The sequence below is a fragment of the Homo sapiens genome, chromosome 3 (genome assembly GCF_000001405.40).
Source record: "Homo sapiens chromosome 3, GRCh38.p14 Primary Assembly".
In the NCBI taxonomy this organism is placed as follows: Eukaryota; Metazoa; Chordata; class Mammalia; order Primates; family Hominidae; genus Homo; species Homo sapiens.
In genome coordinates this window covers 10526481-10552965 of record NC_000003.12, presented here as the reverse complement: position 1 = coordinate 10552965, position 26485 = coordinate 10526481, and the positions used below count along the sequence as shown (strand labels likewise).

General features: G+C 44.7%; 1 protein-coding gene across 8 annotated transcripts in view; it reads left to right on the top strand.

The window, feature by feature from the left end:
- ATP2B2 (ATPase plasma membrane Ca2+ transporting 2) overlaps nucleotides 1-26485 on the top strand; it is a 384094-nt gene that overhangs the window by 155151 nt on the left and 202458 nt on the right. For 6 of the 8 annotated variants that reach the window (NM_001438036.1, XM_017006484.3, XM_006713175.5 and 3 more), the window contains one exon: nucleotides 18833-18927. The gene's annotated coding sequence lies outside the window, so the exon portion shown is untranslated. Of the gene's footprint in view, nucleotides 1-843; nucleotides 1247-18832; nucleotides 18928-25099; nucleotides 25221-26485 lie in introns of those variants that run through there. The other 2 variants (XM_047448198.1, XM_011533752.4) reach the window with 2 other exon arrangements.

Genomic DNA, 26485 nt, shown 5'->3' with positions numbered 1-26485 from the left:
TTGCCTTCGAAATGGAGATGTTAGCTCCCACTTCATAGAACTGTTATGGAAAGTAAATGAGACAGCACATAGAAAGTCCTTTGGAAAGTGACAGCTGCCTAAAATGAGTGTTTCTGCCCTGAGCTGTCTGTGGCCTCAGCAGTTGCACTTCCTGGATGTTCTCCAGTTCACCTGCTTCTCACATGCCCACAGACACCCATTTGTAAATTTCCTGACCCATTTTTGAGCACAGGGAACACATCTTGGTTGGAACCCCAGCTCTGCCTCAGGGCAGCACTGTGGCCTCGGGCAACTTCTAGCCTCAGTTTCTTCATTTGTAAGAGGAGATAAGAACAAGTCATCCTGAGGATGGAAGGAAGCAAATAACATAAAAGCAGTGCTGAGGGGAGCCAACCCAGCACATAGCTGTTGCTCACAAATGGGAGGTTCTGGATTGCCTTTCTGATGTTAAGTATGTGAGAAGACTTTGAACGTGTTTGTGTGAGAGGGAGCTATGGAGGGCAGCACCCACAAGATGGGATTTTTCCCTCACCCCAGGAGCCAGGCCAGCACTCACTTTGGGCGGAAGGCAGGACGCTGCCACCTTCTCTAAGGTTGGCTTCCAGCCACGTTGCAGCAAGGGGGTTCGGCTGACGAAAGCTGTTCCCTCTGTGCCCCACTCACCTTGCAGGAGGAGAAGGGCCCCCTCTTCCCCTTTTCTTTACAGAGTAGCTCCACAGGGGCAAATCTGTCAGATGCCATGGTGATGCCTATGTGGTTTCCCGCCCACGCCCCTCGCCAGTGCTATGAGTCACCAACCGGCACCGAGGCGGCGGCCGTGGGAAGGGTGTTCCCTCTCCGGCTGCAGAAATGCTGCCACAGGCGAGCTCTAGAAAGCCAAAACTGGGCCCCAGGATAGGCACAGTGAGGTTCCTTATGCAACTTTTGACATTGTTCGGAATCAGTGTTACAGAAAGCCCAAACCCAGCCCCATGATAGGCATGGCTACATTTCTTATGCAACCTTGGCATTGTTCAAAAGCAGCGTTAATGTTCGCAACTTCCATTTGCTGAGGGCCCTAGGGAGCTGGCCCAGCCTAGACTTCATGTCCTGCTTCCCACAGCCCAGGAAGAAGCTAGAGTCCCCTTTTCAACAGATGGGGAAAGTGAGACATGCTTGGGGTCACATGGCCAGGACATTCCCAGATGTGACTCCCCTTTACTGGCAGACCAAGGTAGCTTTTGGAATTGGAGACAGACCAAAACAGGTAAATATGATTGATACATTGTGTTCTTGTTTGAATGAAACATAATTGTGAGCAATTGTGTACAGTTGCCGGGCTGAAGGTTTGAACTCTTGATTTCTTAAAAGGAAAGAAAAATCTATCTCTAAATCTGAGTTAGCCTAGAATAGAAATATGTTTACAGCAAAATATTTCTTTATACAAAACTTTGCATTGCCAAAGCAGGGCTGTGGAATATGCATGCGTGTTAGTGGGGTGTTACAGAGGAAGGAACTGCATCAGGGATTGTATCTTGCAAGTAGCACTGACAGTGATCACAGATCCGCATCTGAGACGTTGAGCTTGGCCGCTTTGGCCCCATCTGTGCCCATGGTGGGCTTGATAATCGGCACGTCCATTCACCACTGCCTTGCCAGGTCCTAAAGCCATACTACCTGCTTCACTGCAGGCTGCGTCTCTCATCTTTCCCCCACTGAATTCACTGATCACTCCTCCATCAGGTACTCTAACTGTCCCATGAGCTCCTTAAGAATAGGAGCTGAGCTCCAGGAGGCTATGTGTTGGGAGAAGGGGGCAGTAGAAAATACGTGTAGTTATTTGAGCGACTTGGTATGCCCTGCTGTCTCTGGCTGGAGTCCCCTTCGTAAAACATTCGCCCAGGCCAGAAAGAGACCTAAATGAGAGTAGAGGGAGCAGAAGGTCTCCACACACATTCCCACCTGCCTCAGTGCTGTCTGAGCCTCAAACTTGCCTGATCCAAGTTGGGTAAAACCAGACTGTACCATTCAGCCACAGGAACAGCAGGCCGGGCCGTATCCTGCCAGCAACCTGCCTGATTGGAGGGTTTACTTTGCAGCCAGGCCTTGGCGACCGTGCATAACAGCTTCTGTCTCTCCCAGAACAACTGTGAATGTTTCCCCTTCGCCTTCACCATGACCTCACCCGGCATGGATTTCCTACTATTTAAAACTCTTCTGCAACTCGTTCCATAGACCGGGGTGACATTGATCCTTGCTATAATCAGAGGAGTGTGTGAAGCTGGTGCCCAGGCAGCCTGGGATCCTGGAGGGATACATTAAGACTTGACAGGGTTCCCGTGAAATGGATTTCTGTGCATCAGAACCTGTACTCCTGTTGACTTTCATTGGAGCATTGAGAATGTGTCCTGCTGGAAGGGAGAAATGTTTGATGCAGCTGTACTTCAGAGGGCACTAGACCTTTTTAAAAAACTATCACATAGACAAAAAATGTGCTTTCTGGGGTGTAAAAAAAACTGGTCTATAATATTAGGATCAAGTTTATTTCTATGCTAAATAAAAAAGGGAAAAATCAAAATTTATTATATAGTTAAGTTCATCTTGAGGAGACTGAAGAAAAAGAAACCAATACTATTCCATGGCCAGGTAAAACACTCTGTCTACATTCCAATATGGTCCTGATCTTCAGGAAATTGTTCTGTTGCATTATTGCTATTTACTTCCGTTCTAGGTTTCAGAAAAAAAATTAATATGTCTTATCAGCCTCTGTAGTAAACACTTATTGCTTTCATATTGGTCTCAGATCTTCACTTGCTTTTTCTGTTGAAATTTCAGAGGCTCTATTCTCTGTAGCTAGCCAGCCACAAGAGACTCCCTTGGGCTAAGTTCCCAAGACCTGTCATGTGATACAAGTCATTGTCATTATTGCTTCTTTGGGCTGTTGACAGAATGTGATCCCATAGCAAGATATGAGAAATATATAGGATTTGGAGTCAGGCCATTTTCTTGCTATGTGGCCTTAAGCAGGTGACTTAACCTCTCTGAGCCATGTGGCTCCCCTGAGTTCTAGCATCACTAGGTAAGGTCAGACGCCCCTCCTCAGTGGGCCCCTCAGTGGGCCCCTCCCCTGTGCTGGCCATTGTTCACCACCCTGTGCTGTACTCTTCACTTTTCTATCTTCCCTGGACTCCGAGAGCTCCCTGCAGGCAGAGTCTTTGTCATTTCTGTCCCAGCACAGGGCCTGGCAGGGAGCACAGGGCAGGGGTTTGAGATGGTTGAGAAAAAGAAAGAAAACAGAAAAGGAAGTGAAAAGGAGAGAGGGAGGTAGGGAAGGAGAGAGAAAGGAATAAAAAGTATGGAAAATGCAAACTTTAAACTTCTTTGCAATTCGGATTTATTTCACCACTGGCTGGCCTAAGTGATAGGACATGCTAGTATTGCTGCTGCCTCTCACTTTCCAATGTTCAGCACCAGTGTCGCCATCATCTTACAGATAACACACATTGAGCACTTATTTATATGCATGAGCTTGTTTGCTCTCCCAGGAACCTGTGTGGTAGGCACATTTTCTTTCTTTTTCTCAACCATCTCAAACCCCTGCCCTGTGCTCCCTGCCAAGCCCTGTGCTGAGACAGATGTGACAAAGACTCTGCCTGCAGGGAGCTCTCAGAGTCCAGGGAAGATAGAAAAGTGAACAGTACAGCACAGGGTGGTGAACAAAGGCCAGCACAGGGAAGGGGGCCACTGAGGAGGGGCATCTGACCTTACCTAGTGATGCTAGAACTCAGGGGAGGAAGCCACATGGCTCAGGCACCTCCATTTGACAGACAACAAATCATGATTCATAGGAGAAGTTGAGTCACTCACCCATGTCACACAGCTGGCACATGGTTTTAACCTGATCCCCACAATCCCAGAGCCAGTGCATTTAATCAGTGTACCCTCAGCACTTAGTTTGGGGCTTGACAGGCAATTGATTTCAATAAAAAGTCTTTGAATAAATGAATGGACCTGGTCATTTATCTCATTAGATGCTCAGTCTCACTCTTAGTTCCATCTTCCTGGCATATGTAATGATTAAAACAAAACCTCTGAGGCTAAACAAGCCTGGGTTCAAATATGAGCTTTCCATGTTACGCTGGGAAAGTCATTTTCTCTACTCTAAGCATTGGCTTTCTTCCCACTAAAATGGGAATAATATTGGTGCCTTCCTCCCTTAGACTGGGTTCTTCCAGAAGCAGATCATAAGATGACGATTCAAGTGCAAGTAGTTTATTTGTGAGGCGTGGGAATGCTGGTAGGGGAGTAGGGAAGTGAGACAGGAAAGGGAACAAGGTGTTATCAAGCAAGTTAATTATCACTGTGGGCACCTGGATCTGGGAGCTAGTGTAAAACCCACAGCTCATGGTTTTCCCAGCTGAGAGGGAAGGGAGCTGGGATAGCTATACACTATCTATACACCAACTGCCAACACCCATCAATCATTAGCTGAGAGGGAACAGAGCTGGGATATCTATACACTATCTATACACCAACTCCCAACACCCGTCAATCATTGGCTGAGAGCTGCTGGGGTTGGTGAGTTGCATGTGCTCACCAAAGAACATGCTCAGGCAGATGCTGTGTGTGGTATCAAACCAGCTTGCCCCATGGTGGTTAGATCTGTGGGATTGTGGACAAGGAAATAACAGCATCTCTGCACCAGCTCTTAGTGTTGCTATGACGATTAAGTGGGTTCGTTTCTATATAGCTTGGAGAATGGTCTTTGGCACAGATTAAGCCCCTTATGAGTGGCAGCCTTCAGGGGCTTTTCCTAGCACTCTCTGTGTGATACAAACAGATGCCTTTGGGCTCTACTCCTTAGAACCTCATCACCAGTCTACAAACGGTGATGTGGTCCTGCTGAGTGTCAGGTGCTGGGACACAGCCATGAGCTTGACCAGCCCTCCAATGTTTGTGACCCCACCAGGTGGACAGAAGATGAATAAGAAATGACAGAGGCAGTGCCCAGACTCCTTGCCCAGTGCTCCTCCCAAATGCCATGGAAAGGGGTGTCACACATGTGGAGGGTGTTGGGAAAATGGTCCAGCTGGGATGCCCAGTGAGTATTTTTGTAGCATAGGAAACATGTTCAGCAAATGTCTAAACTGAGAAATTTCCTGGGGAGATTCCCTTCCACTTTGGCATAAGATGATTTTGCCTTACAAGGGACTTCAGTTTCCCTAGACAGGGACTTGGAAAGTCCATGCCTGCAGCCTCCCTGAGGACTAATATTCAGAACTTTCATGGAACAGATGCATGAGAACAAGGATCTGTCTTCCCTGACACGGACCAGCTGTGTGGCTTTAGGCAACTCTCTCTCCCTCTCTGGGCCTGTTTTCTCATCTGTGAAATGGGTACAGTGAGTGGAATAATGGGCATAAGAGTGCTTTGGGAAATGTAAGCCAACTGTGTCTTATGGAGCGGGAGATACGACCATTGTCGTTACTGTTGTTGCTGTTGTTAGGAAAGGTGTGACCGTGGGCCAGCGACTTCCTCTCTCTAAGAATCCTTTCTCCCTGTTGCGTGTGGTCAAATCCTCAAGGGCCAGGAATGTGAAGACAGCCCCCTGTGTCTTACTACCATAGAATATGACTTTACCAGGCCCGAAAGGACTCATGTTCCAACCCCTTGTAGCAGGGAAACTGAGACCTAAAGAGGAGAGAGGACTTGCCTGAGGCCACACAGCCTCAGTGGCAGTCGGTTCTGGGCCCCAACCAGAGCCGCTGAGTCCCAGCCCACTGCTATTTCCTACATCTACTGTGAGCTGTACCCGCCTGCCTCTTTGCCCCCGCCCTTGACCCGAGCTGCTCTCCTCTCCCCAGACCGATACAATTGACCTGCCCCAGCCAGTAAAGTCTCGGAGGGCACAGGGGCCTCTCGCTGCTCAGTTCCCGGCTGCTGGAGTGTTCGTCTCTGCAGCAAGTCAACATTTTTGCCTCTGAGTTGGTGTGTGGCAGATGGCACAGCAGAACTGAGCCTTGGGGTCTATTTTTGACTCAGAGAGGACATTGCGCAGATGCTCAGTGCTCACTGATGGCAGCGGAGGGTCTGGAGGATGGGACAGCATTAATCTATTGGCTTTGGAAGACCCACCGCCTGGGCTCAAATCCTGGCTTCATCACCGTTAGCTGTGTGCTCTCAGATACGAGGTCTTCCTCTAAGAGCCTCAGTCTCCCCATTGTAAAGTGGAGGCTGCAAGATCAATAGGTTGTACCTCATCAATTTGACAGGCTAGTGGCCTCTCAGAGGAAGATGAATATATGGTGGTGGGACTTTGGGGGCTAATTTATAGCTCTGAGAAGAAGAGGCCATAGGAAGGTAGGGACCTCAGAAGGGAGGAGTTCCTGCAGGCCCAAGTCAGGGTCTGGAATGGAGCTGTCCAAGGTGCAGCCCCTTCACACCCCATGTAGGGGCTGAGTGGCCCCAGCGGGGTGGAGAGGTTGGCAGCTGGGGCGGGACCAGGCAAAGTCCTGGGAACAGGCCCCTTTCTTTGTTCTGAGTAGGTAACCCTGGACAGAGGGGCTGGGCAGGGTGGGCCCAAGGGAAGGAGGTGTCCGGCTAAGGTGGGTGAGGGGGACACACAGGCATCATTTGTAGGGGAGGCTGAAGGTGGTAAAGAAGTGGATATGGGGAGAGGGTTCTCAGCGTGCTACCTCCCTGTCTTGCCTCCTGCTGGAGTCAGGCAGATGGGGTCTTATTGCGCAGAATCCCAGCTCCAGGGGGCAGTTGGGGAGGCTGAGAGATGGGTGTGGAAGAGAGACTGGCACACAGAGAGCCTGCTGCATGCACAACTGGCCTCCGGCATGCATGTGCCTGTGTGCGTACTAACATGGTTTCTTCCATGCACGTTTACTATAGAAAATGAGGAAAATGAAGACATTTTGTTTAAGAATCAAACATCCTAACCCCACCAACATTGACATTTGGGGAATACTGTATCTTTCCCCTTATATCTTGTTTTGCATACCATAACCATAGTAATTTTCTTGTTGGAATCGTGTGAATTGAGACCCTATATCATTTCAGTTCTCTACTCTGCATTTTTTATTTGAGGTTATTAAGATATTTTCCTAGGTCATAAAAATTACTTGAAAACATGTTTTTTGATAGATGCCTAATATTCTATCCTATGACTCCTCAGTAATGTACTTAACTAATCCCCTAGGACTTGACATTTAGATTGTGTCCAAATTGTTGCCATGATTTAAAAAAACCACCGCTAACAATAAGAGAACACCATGATGAACATCTTTATGATCAAATGATGTCTGCATTCCCAATTACTGCATATTCCAATTTTGCAAATTTCTGTCCAATCCCAGAGGAAACAGACCATTTCTTTGCTTTTCTTAAAATGGTTGGGTTTTTAAATTTTGTTTTGTTTTTATTTTTTATTTATTTAATTTTTTTTTTTTTGAGATGGATTCTTGCTCTGTCAGCAAGGCTGGAGTGCAAAGGCACGATCTTGGCTCACTGTAACTTCCACCTCCTGAGTTCAAGCGATTCTCTCGCTGCAGCCTCCCAAGTAACTGGGATTACAGGCACCCACCATCATGCCCGGCTAATTTTTGTATTTTTGTAGAGACGGAGTTTCCCCATGTTGGCCAGGCTGGTCTCGAACTCCTGACCTCAGGTGATCCACCTGCCTTGGCCTCCCAAAGTGCTGGGATTACAGGCATGAGCCACTGCACCCGGCCTAAAAATGGTTTTCTTTCATGTGTGTGTATGCTTACAACGCATATTATTTAGTTTCACTTTTGTCTTAGTCCTTTAAAATGGCATCATACAGTATGTAATCTTCTGAGACTCGCTTCTTTCCGACTTTCTTCTACTGGGAAACATTGTTTCTCAGACTCCTCCCTGTGGTTCCTGCAGGTGTGGTTTATGCATTTTCGTAGCTGTGCAATATTCCCTGCCATGACGATATTACAGTTTATTGGTTCATTCTCTGGCTGTTGGGCATATGGTTGTTTCCAGGGTTTGGCTCTTTCAAACAATACTGCTGGAGACATTCTCAGCCATGGTGCCATTTTCCTAGTAAAGGAACACAGGAGGAAAAACAAATTCTGGAAGGGGCGGGTGGAAACAAGAGTTGAGCAAATATAGCTTGAAGTGAAGTGTCTGCAGGACATGAGCTGATTTGATTTTGGAGGAAGACTGTCAGGAGCATCATCTGTGGGCTTGGCTGAGCTGCAGAGCACTTAACTCAGGCTTAGCTGCCAAGGTCAGTGATCTGGGGCTCTTGAGCACAGGTGGAGCCCTCTTCTGTGCACCCCTTCAAAGAGGCAGAAGCATCGTTTGTGAAGGGAGCCTGATCCACACACCTCTTCATCTTGGTGCCATTAAAATCTGAGCCTCCCAAAGTGTGGAGTGTCTACTTCCAGGGTATCTAAGAGGATACTAGGTGTTATTAAAAAGAGCTCATCACCTGATGGGAAAACTAGTCCATTTCCAGTTCTCTTTCAGTCTTCCAGGTCCATCAAGGCAAAAGGTTCTGCTGGAAGTAGTCTATTTTTAATGACCTTCCCCACAAATATTTGTTAAACTCTGTTTGATGAGAGACCAGACTTTTGGCCTAGGCCCCTAGGCAGGTGATAGGATCTGTCAGACATAAGGATGTTCTGTTGTTTTCTTTGTAATTCGTTGTTGTGCTCATCTCCTATTTGTGGTGAGTGGCACTGGTTTTGCACCGATGGTAATGATGAAATTTTCCCTTTAAGAAAATTGTTTAAACTTAAATCAAGCAGATTAGGGAAAACACTCATGAGCTCAATGATAGAAGAGATAGTGACCATGATGGCAGTCATATTTGATTGACTGAGGTTTGAGAAATGCTGACCTAAATCAGCAATTCTCAAACTTCTTTTCTGAAGACTCATTATGTTCTTAAAAATTATGAAGAACAGGGCCAGGTGTGGTGGCTTACGCCTATAATCCTAGCACTTTGGGAGGCCGAGGCAAGCGGATCACCTGAGGTCAGAAGTTGGAGACCAGCCTGGCCAACGTGGTGAAACCCCATCTCTACTAAAAATACAAAAATTAGACGGGCATGATGACATGTGCCTGTAGTCCCAGGTACCCAGGAGGCTGAGGCAGGAGAATTTCTCGAACCCAGGAGGTGGAGGTTGCAGTGAGCTGAGATCATGCCATTGCACTCCAGCCTGGGTGACAGAGTGAGACTCTGTCTCAAAAAAAAAAAAAAAATTATGAAGAACACTCAAAGAGTGTTGATTGTGTAGGTTATATCTCTCCAAATTTACAATACTAGAAATTAAAACTGATTTTAATACTGTTTCTTAATTCATTTAAAAACAACAATAACAAATCTATTGTGGTACAGAAGTAACATAGTTTATGAAAAATAACTATATTTTCCAAAACAAAAACAATTAGAAGATTAAAGTTATTTCATATTTTTACAAGTCTCTTTAACAATTTACTTGAAGGTAGTTGGATTCCTATTCACATCTGCATTCAATCTATTATGATATGATTGATGTTTTAATTGATGTATATGAAGAAAATTCAGCCTTACATAGACATGTTTTTGGAAAAAGGAGGAGTATTTTAATAGCCTTTTCAGATAATTGTAGATACTTTTCTTTGACACTACACTCCCAAACTCAACAAGCTCAGTGTATTCAAGCTCAGACTGCCATAACAAAATACCACAGACTGGGTGGCTTAAACAACAGTAATTTATTTTCTCACAATTCTGGAGGTTGGAAGTCCAAGTTCAGGTTCAAAAGCAGTCTGCTATTAAGCACATTCATCAAGTTTTTTAAATTTTATGTTCTGACTTAAGCCAGGGGCCTGCCAGGAATCAGTAGCAGACCAGAAGGGACAGAGGAAGGAATGATTGAACTGAAATATAGAACAATAGAAACTACCTACCTAATCAAAATAGCAAAGAGAAAGCAGGCTGGAAAACAAAATGAACAGAGCCTTGATTTAACAAAAGATTTAACACTCGTGTCATTGGACTACTGGAAGGAGGTGAGAAAAAGAGGATGGGGCTGAAAAAGTACCTGAAGAAATAACGGCCAAAAAATCCCAAATTTGGTAAAAACACACAAACCAACCCTACAGATTCAGGAAGCTGAGCAAATTCCAAAGAGGTTAAACCCAAGGAAATCCACATCAAGACAAAAAATACATTTCTAAAAACTAAAAACAAAACAAAAATCTTGAAGGCAGTGAGAAAGAACATCTCACCTATGGGCGTAAAAATTTTGAATGACAGCAGATTTCTCTTCAGAAACCATTACAGTCAGGAGGAAGTGGCACCTTTCTCAAATGCTGAAAGAATAGAACTATCAACCCAGAGTCCCATATCCAGCAAAAATATTTTTCAAAAATGAAGGAGAAATCAAGACATTCTCAGATGAAGGAAAGCTAAGATAATTTTTTGCCAGAAGACCTATCCTAAAAGAATGGCTGTAGTTCTCCAAACAGAAAGGAGACAATTTTTTAAAAAGAATTCTTGGGACATCAGGAAGGAAGGAAGAACATGATAAGCAAAAATATGGGTAAATGCAATAAACTTTCCTTCTCTTCTTGAGTTTTCTAAATTATGTTTGACAACTGAAGCAAAAATTGTAACACAGTCTGATGTGGTTCTAAATATATACAGAAAGAACAAACAGAAAACAAAATATAAAATGACAGACTTAAACCTTAATATATCAATTATTACATTAAATATCAATGGCCCAAATACACCAATTCAAAGACAAAGATTGGCAGAGTGGATTGAAAAACATGACTGACTACATGCTAGCTACAAGAGACTCACTTCAAATGTAATAATATAAGCAAGCTAAAAGTAAAAGGATAGAAAAAATCACATGCAAACATTAATCAAAAGAAAGTGGGAGTGGCTATATAAATATCAGATAAAGTCAACTTCAGAGCAAAGTAAATTACTGGAGATAGAGAAGGATATTATTATAATATAATGATAAAAGGGTCAATCAGGAAGACATAGCAATCCTAAATATGTGTACACCAAACAATAGACCTGTAAAATATGTAAGGCAAAAACTGATAGGAGTGACCACAATTACAATTGGAGACTTCAACACTCATCTCCCAATAATTGATACAGCAACTAGGCAGGATATCAGCAGGAATACGGAAGAACTTAACAACACCATGAGCCAATAAAATCTAATCAACACATATAGAATGCTCCCCGTAACAGCAACAGAATACATGCTGTTTTCAAGCGCCCACAGAACATATGCTAAGGTAGACCATATCCTGGATCATAAAACAAACATTAGCAAAATTAGAAGAATTGAAATCATGGAGAGTATTTTCTCTGGCCACGGTGGAATCAAACCAGAAGTCAATAACAGAAAGATATTTGGAAAATATCCAATCACTTAGAAACTAAATAATGCATATCTAAATAATCTGTGGCCAAAGAGAAAGTCTAAATGTAAATTTTAAAAATATATCAAATTGAATGACAGTTAAAATAGAACCTATCAAGATTTGTGGAACCAGCTAAAGCATTGCTGTGAGGGAAATTTATAGCATCATGCATAACTAGCAAATAAAGAATTCTGAAATCAACAATCTAAGCCCCTACTTTGAGAAGCCAGAAAAGGAAGAGCAAAATAAACCCAAACCAAACAGAAGAAAGGAAATAATAAAGTTAAGAGTAGAAATCGATAAAGTTGAAAACCAAAAAATGACAGAGAAAACCAATGAAACACAGAGATATTTCTTTGAAAAGATCAATAACATCAAAAAATTCTAGCAAAACTAACCAAAAAGAGAACAAGACAGAAAGAGAAGACACACATGACCAAAATTGAGAATGAAACAAAGAATAACGCTACAGACCCCACAGACATCAATACAATAAGGAATACTATGAACAACTCTGCACATATAAATTTAACAACCTAGTAGAAATGGACCAATTCCTCAAAAAACACGAACTACCACAATTCACCCAATATGAAACAGATAATTTAATATCCCTATAATTACTAAGGAAATTGAATTTGTAATTTTTAAATTTCCTAAAAAAAAAATCCCCAGGACCAGGTAGTTTTTTTTTTTAATTATATTTTAAGTTCTAGGGTACATGTGCACAACGTGAAGGTTTGTTACATATGTATACATGTACCATGTTGCTGTGCTGCACCCATTAACTCATCATTAACATTAGATATTTCTCCCAATGCTATCCCTCCCCCCTCCCCCCACCCCACGACAGGCCCCAGTGTGTGATGTTCTCCACCCTGTGCCCAAGTGTTCTCATTGTTCAATTCCCACCTATGAGTGAGAACACGCAATGTTTGGTTTTCTGTCCTTGCAACAGTTTGCTCAGAATGATGGTTTCCAGCTTCGTCCATGTCCCTACAAAGGACATTAACTCATCCTTTTTTATGGCTACATAGTATTCCATGGTGTATATCTGCCACATTTTCTTAATCCAGTCTATCATTGATGGACATTTGGGTTGGTTCCAAGTCTTTGATATTGTGAATACTGCTGCAGTAAACATACGTGTGCACATGTCTTTATAGTAGCGTGATTTATAATCCTTTGGGTATATACCCAGTAATGGGATCACGGAATCAAATGGTATTTCTAGTTCTAGATTCTTGAGGAATCACCACACAGTCTTCCACAATGGTTGAACTAGTTTACAGTCCCACCAACAGTGTAAAAGTGTTCCTATTTCTCTACATCCTCTCCAGCACCTGTTGTTTCCTGACTTTTTAATGATCACCATTCTAACTGGTGTGAGATGGTATCTCATTGTGGTTTTGATTTGCATTTCTCTGATGGCCAGTGATGATGAGCATTTTTTCATGTGTCTGTTGGCTGCATAAATGTCTTCTTTTGAGAAATGTCTGTTCATATCCTTCACCCACTTTTTGATGGGGTTGTTTGATATTTTCTTGTAAATTTGTTTAAGTTCTTTGTAGATTCTGGATATTAGCCCTTTTTCGGATGGGTAGATTGCAAAAATTTTCTCCCATTCTGTAGGTTGCCTGTTCACTCTGATGGTAGTTTCTTTTGCTGTGCAGAAGCTCTTTAGTTTAATTAGATCCCATTTGTCTATTTTGGCTTTCGTTGCTATTGCTTTTGGTGTTTTAGTCATGAAGTCCTTGCCCATGCCTGTGTCCTGAATGGTATTGCCTAGGTTTTCTTCTAGGGTTTTTATGGTTTTTAGGTCTAACATTTAAGTATTTAATCCAACTTGAATTAATTTTTGTATAAGGTGTAAGGAAGGGATCCAGTTTCAGCTTTCTACATTTGGCTAGCCAGTTTTCCCAGCACTATTTATTAAATAGGGGATCCTTTCCCCATTTCTTGTTGTTGTCAGGTTTGTCAAAGATCAGATGGTTGTAGATTTGTGGTATTATTTCCGAGGGCTCTGTTTGGTTCCATTGGTCTGTATCTCTGTTTTGGTACCATGCTGTTTTGGTTACTATAGCCTTGTAGTATAGTTTGAAGTCAGGTAGCGTGATGTCTCCAGCTTTGTTCTTTTTGCTTAGGATTGTCTTAGAAATGTGGGCTCTTTTTTGGTTCCATATGAACTTTAAAGCAGTTTTTTCCAATTCTGTGAAGAAAGTCATTGGTAGCTTGATGAGGTTAGTATTGAATCTATAAATTACCTTGGGCAGTATGGCCATTTTCACGACATTGATTCTTCCTATCCATGAGCATGGAATGTTCTTCCATTTGTTGGTGTCCTCTTTTATTTCATTGAGCAGTGGTTTGTAGTTCTCCTTGAAGAGGTCCTTCACATCCCTTGTGTGTTGGATTTCTAGGTATTTTATTCTCTTTGAAGCAATTGTGAATGGGAGTTCACTCATGATTTGGCTCTCTGTCTATTATTGGTGTATAGGAATGCTTGTGATTTTTGCACATTGATTTTGTATCCTGAGACTTTGCTGAAGTTGCTTATTAGCTTAAGAAGATTTTGGGCTGAGATGATGGGGTTTTCTAAATATACAGCCATGTCATCTGCAAACAGGGACAATTTGACTTCCTCTTTTCCTAATTGAATACCCTTTATTTCTTTCTCCTGCCTGATTGCCCTGGCCAGAACTTCAAACAGTATGTTGAATAGGAGTGGTGAGAGAGAGCATCCCTGTCTTGTGCCAGTTTTCAAAGGGAATGCTTCCAGTTTTTGCCCATTCAGTATGATATTGGCTGTGGGTTGGTCATAAATAGCTCTTATTATGTTGAGATACGTCCCATCAATACCTAATTTATTGAGAGTTTTAACATGAAGCACTGTTGAATTTTGTCGAAGGCCTTTTCTGCATCTATTGAGACAGTCAAGTGGTTTTTGTCTTTGGTTCTGTTAATATGCTGGATTACATTTATTGATTTGCGTATGTTGAACCAACCTTGCATCCCAGGAATGAAGCCAACTTGATCGTGGCGGATAAGCTTTTTGATGTGCTGCTGGATTCAGTTTGCCAGTATTTTATTGAGGGTTTTTGCATCGATGTTCATCAGGGATATTGGTCTAAAATTCTCTTTTTTTGTTGTGTCTCTACCAGGCTTTGGTATCAGGATGATGCTGGCCTCATAAAATGAATTAGGGAGGATTCCCTCTTTTTCTATTGATGGGAATATTTTCAGAAGGAATGGTACCAGCTCCTCTTTGTACCTCTGGTAGAATTCGGCTGTGAATCTGTCAGGACCAGGTAGTTTCACTGCAGAATTTTACCAAGTGTTTAAAAAATTAACACCAATTCTATACAATGTCTTCCAGTAAATAGAAGAGGAAGAAACAATTCCAATATATTTTAAGGAGCTACTATTATCATAATATCAAAACCAGACAAAGACAATACAAACAAAACTGCAGACTTAACATCCGTCATGTGTATACATGTGAAAATCTTTAACAAAACATTAACAAACAGAATTCAACACTGTGTAAAAAGAATTATGCATCATGACCAAGTGGGGTTTATTCAAGGGATGCAGGGTTGGCTTAACATTTAAATACCAGTTAATATAATCCACCATATTAACGGGCTAAAGAAGAAAATCACATGATGGTATCCATCAATGTAGGAAAAGCAAATTCAACACCCATTCGTCATAAAACACAGAAAAAGTAGGAATAGAGAGAAACTTCCTCACCTTGATAAAGAGCATTTTTAAAAACTATGTTATACTTACTGAATGCTTTCCCCTGAGATTGGGAACAAGACAAGGATGCCAGCTCTCATCATTATATTCAACATAGTGCTAAAAGCTATAGCTAGTGCAAAAGACAAGAAAACATATACAAATTCAAAGGAAGAAATAAAACTCTCCCTGTTTGCAGATGACTTGATTGTCTACATAAAAATCCCAAGGAATCTAAAAACACAAACCTCCTAGAAGTAATAAGTGAGTTCAGGAAAGTTACAGGATACAAGCTAAGCATACAAAAAAAAAATGTATTTTCATACACTAGCAATGGATACGTGGACACCAAAATTTTAAATACAATGCCATTTACAATCACTCAAAAAAATGAAATAGGTATAAATTTAACCAATCTATAGGATTTGTATGATGAAAATTATTAAACACAGATGAAAGAAGTTTTAAAAGCCTAAATAAATGAAGAGACTTGTGTTCATGGATTGGAAGACTTAACATAGCAAAGATGTCTGTTCTGTGCAATTTCTATCAAAATCTCAGAAAAATCAGTATAGATGTAGAAAAGATTATAAAATTTATAAGGAAAAGCAAAGAATTTAGAATATCTAAAACAATTTTGAAAAAGAATGAAGAATCAGTTTATCTGATTTCAAGATTTATTATATAGAAATCATGACAGTAGTATTGACAGAGATATGACACATAGATCAATGGACTGAGTAGATGACCCAGAAAGAAACCCACACAAATATGCCCAACCTATTTTTAACAAAGGTACAAAAGCAATTCAATGGAGTAAAGATGATAACCTTTTCAACAAATGGTGCTAGAGCAATTGGACATCCGTAGGAAAAAATAATGAAAATGATAATAACTTCAACCTAAGTCTCACACCACATGTAAAAATTAACTCATAATGGACCATGGACTTCAATATAACATGTAAAACTCTAAAGCTTGTAGACAAAAAGTAAGAGGCTGGGTGTGGTGGCTCAGGCCTGTAATCCCAACACTTTGGGAGGCCAAAGTGTGAGGATTGCTTCAGCCCAGGAGTTCAGGACCAGCCTGGGCAACTTAGTGAGACCTTGTCACTACTAAAAATAAATAAAATTAGCTGGGCATAGTGGTGCACACTTGTAGTCCCAGCTATTCAGGAGGCTGAGGCAGGAGGTTTGCTTGAGCCTGGGAGTTCAAGGCTGCAGTGAGCTATGATCATGCCACTGCACTCCAGCCTGGGTGACAGAGTGAGACCCTTTCTCAAAAAGAAGAAGAAGAAAGAAGAAAGGAGGAGGAGGAGGAAAAGAAGGAGAAGGAGAAAGAGGAGGAGGAGGAGGAAGGAGGAAGGAGAGGAAGAAAGACAGGAAGAGGAAGAAGAAGAAGAAGAGAAGCAGAAGAAGAAGAAGAGGAAAGCAAATCCATAAAACAGGCAAAAAAATCCTGTGACAAGGATAAAAAGACAAAAAAAAAAAAAATCCTGTGACAAGGATAAAAAGCTAAGCTATGGACTAGAAGAAAATATTTGCAAACCACAAAACCGATGAGGTACTGGTATCTAACATATACAAAAAAGTCTCAAAACTCAGCAATTTAAAAATCCAATTTAAAAATGGGCAAAAGACATCTCAACAAAGAGTATATATAGATGACAAATAAGCACGTGAAAAGATGTGCAACATCATTAGTCATTAGGGAAATGCAAAATAAACCCTCAATTAGATATTATTACACACCTATCAGAATGGCTAAAATAGAAAATAGTGACAACACCAAATGTCGATGAAGATGCAGAGAAATTGGATCCACTTGTACATTGCTGGTGGGAATGTAAAATGCTACAGTCATTTACCATACTGGAAAACAGTTTGACAGTTTCTTAAAAAAAAAAGAAAAAAGAAAAATCAACTGCCATACAACCCAACAATTGCACTCTTGGGCATTTATTCCAAACAAATGAAAACAATTTGTTCACACAAAAAACCTTACATAAATGTTTATAATACCCCACAACTAGGAGTAACACAGATGTCCTTTCACTGATTGATAGTTAAACAACCTGTAATGCATCCACGTAGGGAATACTACCCAACAATAAAAAGGAGCGAACTCTTGTTACACACAACCACCTAGAGGAATCTCCAGGGAATTCTGCAGAATGAAAAAAGCCAGTCCCAAAAGGTTATATACCACATGACTCCATTTATATAACATCATTGAAAGAACAATATTAGAGAGATGGAGAACAGGCTAGAGGTTGCCAGGGGTTAGGGATGAGGGGCATGACTATAACAGGGTAGCCCAAGGAAGCCTTGTAGGGATGGAACAGTTCTACATCTTGATTGTAGTGGTGGTGGTGACACAAAACTACAGATAACATTTCATAGAGCTACACACACACACACACACACACACACACACACATCAAACTGCTGCATGCAAGCGCTGTAGATTGTATGATGTCACAAGACTGGTTTTTATGGCATGCTGCAGTAGTGCAAGTTAAACTTGGGGAAGTCTGGAGGGAGGTGCATGGGATCTCTCTGTACATTTCTTTGCAATTTCTTTTGAATCGATAACTATTTAAAATAAAAAGTTACAAATAGGGCTGGGGGCGGTGGCTCATGCCTGTAATCCTAGCACTTTGGGAGGCCTAGGAAGGTGGATCACCTAAACTCAGGAGTTGGAGACCAGCCTGGCAACACGGTGAAACCCCATCTCTACTAAAATACAAAAAAGTTAGTCAGGCATGGCAGCATGTGCCTGTAATCCTGGCCCCTTGGGAGGCTGAGGCAGGAAAATCGCTTGAACCCGGGAGGCAGAGATCTCAGTGAGCTGAGATCATGCCATTGCACTCCAGCCTGGATGACAGAGTGAGACTCCATCTCAAAAAAAAAAAAAAAAAAAAAAACCAAATAAATGAATAAATGGATTGAGAGAGAGAGAGAGAAGGAAGCTGATAGGGAGCCCTATAGCATCCAGTGCCCTCTGCTGCTGCTGTTTGTCGGGCGTTTCTAAGACCCACGGCACTTATGCATATTATATTTTAGTTACCCCTCACAAAAATCCTGAAAAATAGGTATTATGATCTTTATCCTCCAGATGAGGAAAAGGAGGCTCAGGAAATTTAAGTCACTTGCCCAAGAAAGTATCTCTGTCTCTCCAGGGCACACACCTGTGACCACTCTTTCACACCCCCTCTGCCCTCACAGGCCACACACAGGCCATCTGTAAAATGGGGACAACGGTGGCATCTTATGAAGATCCAGCAAAGATAATTTATGTAAAGTGTTTACCAGAGTAGCTGGAATGTAGTAGGTGCTCATGAAATAGTTATCAAATGAATAGAATGGCTAGATGCCCGATGCATGTTAGTGAAAGGGGCAGCCCTCTCTCTGGGGCCTGCCACTCAACCTTCCCAGTATCAGACAGAGAGACCCCTGCCAGCAGGTGGACTTGCACTCCTGAGATGGTCTCTGGACCCAGGAGGGGCAAAGCCCACCCAGGCTGGTCTGAATGCAGAAGGCAAGGGCCAGGTCCTTGTCAAACCCATCCCTAGCCTAGAGCCAGCACATCGGGGACACTCCACACCACGGTTACCTTCCCTTCTCCTTTCTGACCTGGGTCCCTGTCATGTCACCCACCCCTAACTAATGCCATCTTTCCCCTTTTCCAGAGCTGAACTTCGTCACCCAGTCCCTAGAGCCAGCAAGACATGGGCCCCAGTTTCCAGACCCTGACACCTCTCATTTAACCAGAAGACGTGGAGGGGTGAGTTGGAGACGGGGGCTTGACTGGGGGGTATCAGCCTGGGAAGAGAGCTGCTGGGGGTGGGGGTTGCCAATGGAGGGTCAACTGAGCAGGAACCCAGTGTTTAAAAGCAGCTGTCCTCTCTGTCATCCTATTGGGGACATGTGTATTATTTATGCAACATTGGGCTGGTTTGGGGAAATTCCCTGGAAGCCCTATGGCATTTGAATTAGGAGCATGGTGTAGACTGTGGAGGAGGAAGGCCCCATCATGTCACATGGTGGATGGTTGTCAATCCAGGGTCTGTCCCAGCACTGGCACTGGGGAGCCCAGGCGGATCTGACACTGCCTCTGCCCTGGGAGGATAGACCGGTGCCTGAATGAAAAGCCAGCCACCTCACCTGGTCCTGCTTCATTCTTCTACCCTCTGGGCCATGCCCCAGCCTGCACATGAAGCGTTGGAGCTGGGGTAGTCAGGTGGGCTTACTGGGACATGTGCTAAGTGCTGACAGAGAGGACAGGAGTGGCAGTAGTATGTTTATTGGTTATTGAGAGCTTGGCAGCTGGACTCAGTCCCAGGTTCAAATACTAGCTCTGCAACTGGGACAGCCCCTCTGAGTCTCAGATCCCTCATCTGTAAAACGGCATTTTGCAGATGATTCATGTAAAGTGCTTAGCAGAGTAGCTGGAACATAGTAGGTGCTCATTAAATACTTACCAAATGAATAGACCTTCTAGGTGCATGATGCATGTTAGTTAAATGGGGCAGCCATCTCTCTGAGGCCAGAACACCACTCAACCTTCCAGAGCCAGCATATACAGCAGCTCTGTGAGATTTCTGTGGCTCCTTGCTGAAATCAACCATGTCTTCCTCTGTGCTCCTGAAGCCCTTTCTTGGGGCCTCTGCTATTTGCCTTGCTTGGCCAACCTTACATTAGGGTGATATACAAATCTTGGAGTGCATGCCCCATGGACCCAACATGTAAGAGATCAGAGCTCTCACTGCTCATCTTTCAGCATCAGACACAACTTACGTTGCACAAGCTTGTCCTCGGAGCCAGAGCTTAGAGTTGCCATCTCATCTGACCTTCCCAGTAGCCGCCATTAGCCCTTTTCACAAATGAGAAAACTGATGCCCAGAGAGAAGAAACTTTGCAGCCAGCATGCAACCCTGAGCTTCTAACTGTGCAAGCAAGCATCACTGGCTTCCTACTGCCTTTGTGCCTGCCTGAAGATGAGTAACCACAGACTCAACTCAGGGAGGGAGCAAACAAGCAGATGGGCCACATGCCTCCCTGTTCAGCCTTCAGACACCACCCAGACCTCTTGCTTCGCTAAAGTTTGGTTTCTTGCCCAAGCACTTTGGGACGAACCAGATTGTTTCCAAACACATTACATAATTGCTCACATATTTATTTAATGCCATCTCTTGAATATTAAATGACCCATAATACAGAACAGAAACTTGAGCATCTAAACCCAGCAGCTTTTGACAGGCATAGGTGGGGAAGGAGGTTGAGGAGAGCCATCCACAAGCCATCCTCAGGGAGAGGCGGTGACGTCGCTCCTCTCCTCCTCCTGAAATGGGTTGACAAAGGCTTCCCATGCCCATCAGTGGAAACCAGGTAGTGGAATTTTCACCATGGAATTCAACCTGTTTTGTTATATAATAACAAAGATGCATCATCTTCTCTCTAAAGGATGCTCGAAGCCAGGGCTTAGCTACCTGTTTATTTGGTTACAAGTGTTTATTGAGCACTCTCTATGTGCGGTCATTGTTATACTTTTATTCACCTCTCATGTGCCTTTATGAATGGGACAAAGAGACCCCTGGCCTCAGTGGGACTGGGGAGGGATGAACAGGGCCCAAGATAAAGTGGTAATGTGAGCAGAGGGCCCCTGTGAGGAGTTTGAATTACAATCTATGTGCAGTGGTGAAGTTATTGGGGGTTTCCAGTGGTCCGATCAATGTTTGAGAAACATCCTTCCAAAGCCAGGAGAGGATGGGGGGGTGAGGGGCACATCAGAAAGGGCCAGATCACAGTTCTAGGTTGGGGGTGCCAGGGTGGTGGGGCGGGGAGAATCCAAGGAGGACATGAGGGCCACCCAGACCCTAAGTGATGAACTTGTAGCCTCAGAAGTGGGTCTGTCCAAGGTGATTCTAAGTTTCTCCAAGGGCAGCGATGGAGGACCTGACCTGATGGCCAGTAGGAATCACAGTCACACCAATGTTAATAATCATCTCAGTGCCTAGGAGTCCCTAAGTACCCACTGCGTGCCAGGCATTGCGATGAGCCCCTTGTCCTCACTACCAGCCTGTGGCATGTACAATTTTGTTATCCTCATTTCACAGAAGAGGAAAGCAAGGCCCAGAGTGGTTAAGTCCAACGCCTGGATTGCCAGGAAGTAGCATCTCTCTCCACACATACAACCCATGTTGGTTGAATGAATTCATAGTCACAAAAATCACCATAGCAATCACTTAATGCAGGGCTCGCCTTGTGCCAGGGCCTGTTCTAAATGCTTTAAAATTTTTAATCATTTAGTCCTCACAACAGCCCCATAAGACAGGCATGACCATTCTTATCCCCATTGTACAAAGGAAGAAACTGAAGCAGAGTGTTCAGTGTTAATCCCACCCGAGTTGGGATTTGAACCCAGGTAGTATGGCTCTGGAGTTCAGATTTTCAGTAAAATGAAGTGCAGGTGGAAGAAGTAGCATCTGCTGGGAACCAGCACTCTGACCCGGCACTGTCTGCGTTTCCAAGTCTGGGGTCAAAGCCACTGGCTCACTGTCGATGGGACATTCAGCAGCACTACTTTTGGGGCAGGCCTGGGCTGAGCCCGAGGGGAGGGAGTGTGTGCCAGCAGACCCTCAACCCTGAGGGCTGACCTGTTCTCTCTGGAGCCAGAGTGAAAGGTCCTCCCAGAGGCTGCCCCTCCTGCAACTGCCAAGATGTTCCAACCACAAAGCAGCTCGAGTCACTGCCTCAATAAGGGAATCAGGGAATCTTGTCACTCTCTTTGCCAGCAGGAACATCCAGAGAGGAAAACCAACTGAGGGAAGTTGTGGAGTCAGAAAACGTTTATGGAAAATGTTTTACCCCAAGACTGTGCCAGAACGACAACTAAATCCTCCCCAGCAGAAACCCTTTCTAACTAAAAATGACAGGCATCTTTCCTTATAAATAAGTTCAATCGGCAGAATTTCCACGTCAGCAACGTATTAGGCAGTTGTAATCAACACCAGTTTACAAAGCAACTGACTCATCCCTCCTTAAAATGTGGGCAATAATTCCCATCTGAGGGGCCTTGCTGGGGGATGGGAGCCCTTTGTAAAAGGTGGAAATTGGCACAAAGTAGGGCTTTAAAAGGACTTGAGGATTCTTAAACAGCTTATCCTTTTGGGGAGTTTGAACTTTTCCCTGCAATCCTGCTCTCTTCAACGAGAGAACGAAGGAAAAAAACGTGAGCCCTGTCTGTGGCCAGACTGCCCCAGTCTAAAACTCAGGGAAGGGAACAAAGAGGTTGCATCAACACACACCCCAAACCTCTGGTAACCACTCGTCAGAGCCAGGGAGCTGTCGCACTAGGCCTCACTTGGGGAGGAAGCGTGGTGCGGTGGGACACTCCGGCCGCAGGTCGTCTCCCCTCTGCCAGGTGCAGGTCCCGGCTGTGCAGTCCTGGACAAGTTTCACTTAAGTGCTTCTCACCTCAGTTTTATATTCTTTAAAATGGGAGTCCTCCTTTTTGAGGATGTCGGAAGGATTCGATGGAAGAGAAAATAGGATATGCCCAGCTTAGGGCCTGGAATATTGACAACTGCTCAGTGAGTTTTGTTCTTTTGGTGGTCCCCGGTGGGAACAATCGCCTCAAATGGTGAGGACCTCAGGCGCCTTTGCTGGGACTGTGTCGGTCGCTCTCAGCCACCTGAGCACTGCGAAAAGAGAGTCTGTCATCTGTATTAGTTTGTGAGGGCTGCCGTGACACATGACCACAAACTAACAGAAATGTGTTGTCTCACGTTCTGGAGACTAGGAGTCCAAGATCAAGGTGTCAGAGGGCTTGGTTCCTTCCGAGGATGGGGAGGCTGACTCTTTCCCGGCCTCTCTCCTGGCTTCCAGTGGTTCGCCGGCCATCTTTGGAGCTCCTTGGAGTAGAGAAGTAGCACTCTAGTCCCCTGCCTTCACATCGTCTTCCCCCAGTGAGTGCCTCTGTGTCCAAAGATCCCCTTTTTGTAAGGACACCAAATCATTCCAGATTAGGGCCCATTCTAGTGGCCTCATTTTAACTTGATCACCTCTGTAAACACCCTCTGTCAACGCCCATCTGTACCTCACATTCTGGGGTATGAGGGGTTAGGACTTCAACCTATCTTTTTGGGAGGACATAGTTCAACCCTTATCCCTATCATAATGATTTGAAGCTGATTCTGGACAGACCACCAGTTCTTTCATGATATTTAAGTTCCCAAATAGACTCGAAGAATATTTTACATCATTCTCTAGAAGTCTGACATCCTTCTAAAAATCACTGATATCTTAGCTTCCAGGAGATGCCCATTGGCATCTTAAACTCCAATCTGAGACTGTGGGGTCATTGTCTTACATAAAGAGCCTGTAAGTTTGAAGCTGAGCTCTTTCTCAGCACAACTATATGCTAGACTCTGGAGACACGGGAAGCCAGGGACTTAGCTTTCAAGGTGGTTACAGGCAGGAAGGCCACAAAACAGGTAAGTACGCAACTGGCTGTTGTTGGATAGGGGAGTACCAGGAAGATCGTTCCCAAAATAATCTTCAAAGCGTGAGAGAAAGAGGTTTTCTTCCTGGGTCACCTCCTGTCTTTGTTTCCCTAGAGAAGTAATGTCCTTCCTGGGTGGTCTGAGAACCTCTGGGGAGCCCCTACTCCCTCTCATCAGTCACTTGACTTTCATTCTGAGATAACACCTGCTCTTGAGTCTTCCCCCGGGAAGGTGGGAAGTAGCACAGAGACATGAGCCCATCACCCCCGCTTGGCTGGGATGCCCAGAGAGGTGGGGGGTCAGTGCTGGACCCCCTTTATTGCCAGCTCTCCATTTTTTTCCTCCCAAGTCATCTCATGGATCTGGGAAAGTTAACTAAGCTTCCCCATCCCAAATATGAGCAGTTCCCACATTGCTTGAACTGAGAGCCTACAATCCATATTCACACACTGACACCAGCACCAAGCAAGTAGCCGGGATCACGGGCATGAGCCAACGCACCTGCTTAAACCGTATTTTTAAAAGCAAAAGGCTGGGAAGCGAAGGAAGTCGCTAGGTTGACTAAATAATATGTTTGCAGCATAGATGTTCTGCTATTTGTCAAACAGGAGTTGCTGTGATTAGCAAAATATCAATTCACATAAAAGTGAAAAATATATTCAGGGGTGTGTTCCTTACACCAGAAATATTTAAGATAAAACACACGTTGGCACACGAAGGAGGAAGATTACAGTGGCTAGGAAACTTGCTCATGTGGAAAGTGCCCCTTCTCCAAGGATGCTGGAGGAAGGACAAGTTGCTCAGCAGGAAACAATAAATGTTTTCTTCCTGTTTCTCTATGAAGAGAAAGTGATCAGGCACATTATAGGGCACAAGCAAGGAGTGTCATGGGGCCCAGAGGCAAGGTGGGTGGGGGACTCTGTTACCCTTTTTTCCCCTTAGTCCAGAGAGGCTTCCTGGAGGAAGCAAGATTCTGTGCTGTTTGGCCCAGGCTCTCCTGGCCTGGCATTTCCCCACGTGACTTGTTTCAGTGGAAGCTTCCTTGGGTTGGGCCAGATGCACGCGTCGTAGCCACCCTTTCCCCACGTTCCCAGGGCTGCTCCATGCCAGCCAGTTGTACAGAGAGTCCTCAGAACAAAAGAACTTCCAGGTAGCCAGGGCTGAAGCCAGGGTATTGCTGATAGGATCAGGAGCCTCATGCTCGTGAGAACAAAAGCCCAAGAAGAAGCCAGGGGTACAGAGTTATGCCCGCCACCCATGTTGCTTTTGACAGAGACCACTGTTTTGCCGATTACCGCACTGTGAAGGCCAGCCCACAGACCTTAGTGGCCAGCCCTGCTCCCCTGCCCCTCCCCACCCCACCTCCCTCCTCACCGATCCTCAGGCCAGAAAGGGAGGCAGCCCTGCTGGCAGCCAGGCCTCGGTGCCGTGGCCACCTTGCAGGGTGTGGCCATACGCTGCAGACTTCTGCAGTGACTGTAGGTGCTGGAGCCGAGCAGTCAGAGAGGGTACTTGTGTCCGTGGCCTGAAACCCAGCGGGGACACCGGGTGATTCACCGCCATCTCTGGCCAGGTATGGGAGGCTGGGTTCGCGAGGCACTCCCCACAGCCCTGGACTGGTTGGTCTCCTCAGAAGCCTGGGTCTCCAGTTCAGGGCAGGGCAGTGGTGGGGAGGTAGGGGGTTCCTGAGATGGAAAGAGTATAAGGAGAGGAACCTGTGAGGCTTTGAGTCCTTGTCTCAGAGGGAGAGTGGAGGGCAAGCCCTGGCCCAGGCAAGCTCTGTAGGTATTGATGAGGAGCCCCAGGAGGGACTGTCTCTGGCCTCACCCAGCTCCATAGGAGTGCTCCCTCCAGAGGGCGGTGAAAGAGTACAAGAGCGTGGGCTCTGTAGCCAGAAGACCCAGGTTCAAATCCTGACACCCAGGTGTCCATTTGGACATTTACCTCCATCTCTCTGTGCCTCAGTTTCCTACCCTGTAAAATGGGGGTGGTGGTAACAGTTCCTATTTCATAAGGCTGTGTGAAGATCAAATGAGATAAGCGAGGGAGCCCTTCAACACAGGCAAGTGTCCAGTAGGTGCTAGCTCTGAGCTGCCCCCTTTCCCTCCCTGAACATGGGAGCCGCCCTCAGAGGCAGCAAGGTTGATGCTGGAAGGAAAACTACCTGCCCAGCTCAGAGGTGCAAATACAGAGGAGATGACCTAGGTCATGGTGTCAGTTTCTGAGTCAGACAGATTGGAGTTTGAATCCTGTGTTTGCAAACGGTTTAGCTGGGAAGGCTTACACACGCTCTCGACCCTTTGACCCCATTTTAAAAACCCATGAAATGGGGATAATAATAGGACCTAGCTTGTGGGTTATGTATAAGGATGAAATTACGCTGTACACATAACGGGCTTATCCCATGCCTTATACTTAAATTGGGAGCTAGTGTCACCACCACCACCACCATCATCACTATCATCATGGTTACTATTATTGTTATTATTATTAGGAAATAGAGACTCAGAGAGGGGAAGGGACTCGCCAGCAGTCATGTAGCAAGTCAGAGGGCAAGGCAGGACCCAGTCCTGTCCTCCTACCCCTCAGTCCCTATTCTTTCCACTCCCCACACCCCCTCACTGGCCCTAATGGGTCCTTCTTGGCCATCCGCACACTCATCACAGACAGCTCCCGCTGACTTCATTGGTTCTGGGCATGGGTCTGGGGGTGCCACACAGGGGAATCTGGCATCCCCCCAAGAGGTTGAGCCAGCAGACAGCCCAGGTTGGAGGCTACCTTGTCCCCGTGACCCACAGCACCCCTCTAAAAGCCCTCCCAATCCCTGTGTCCAGGGAT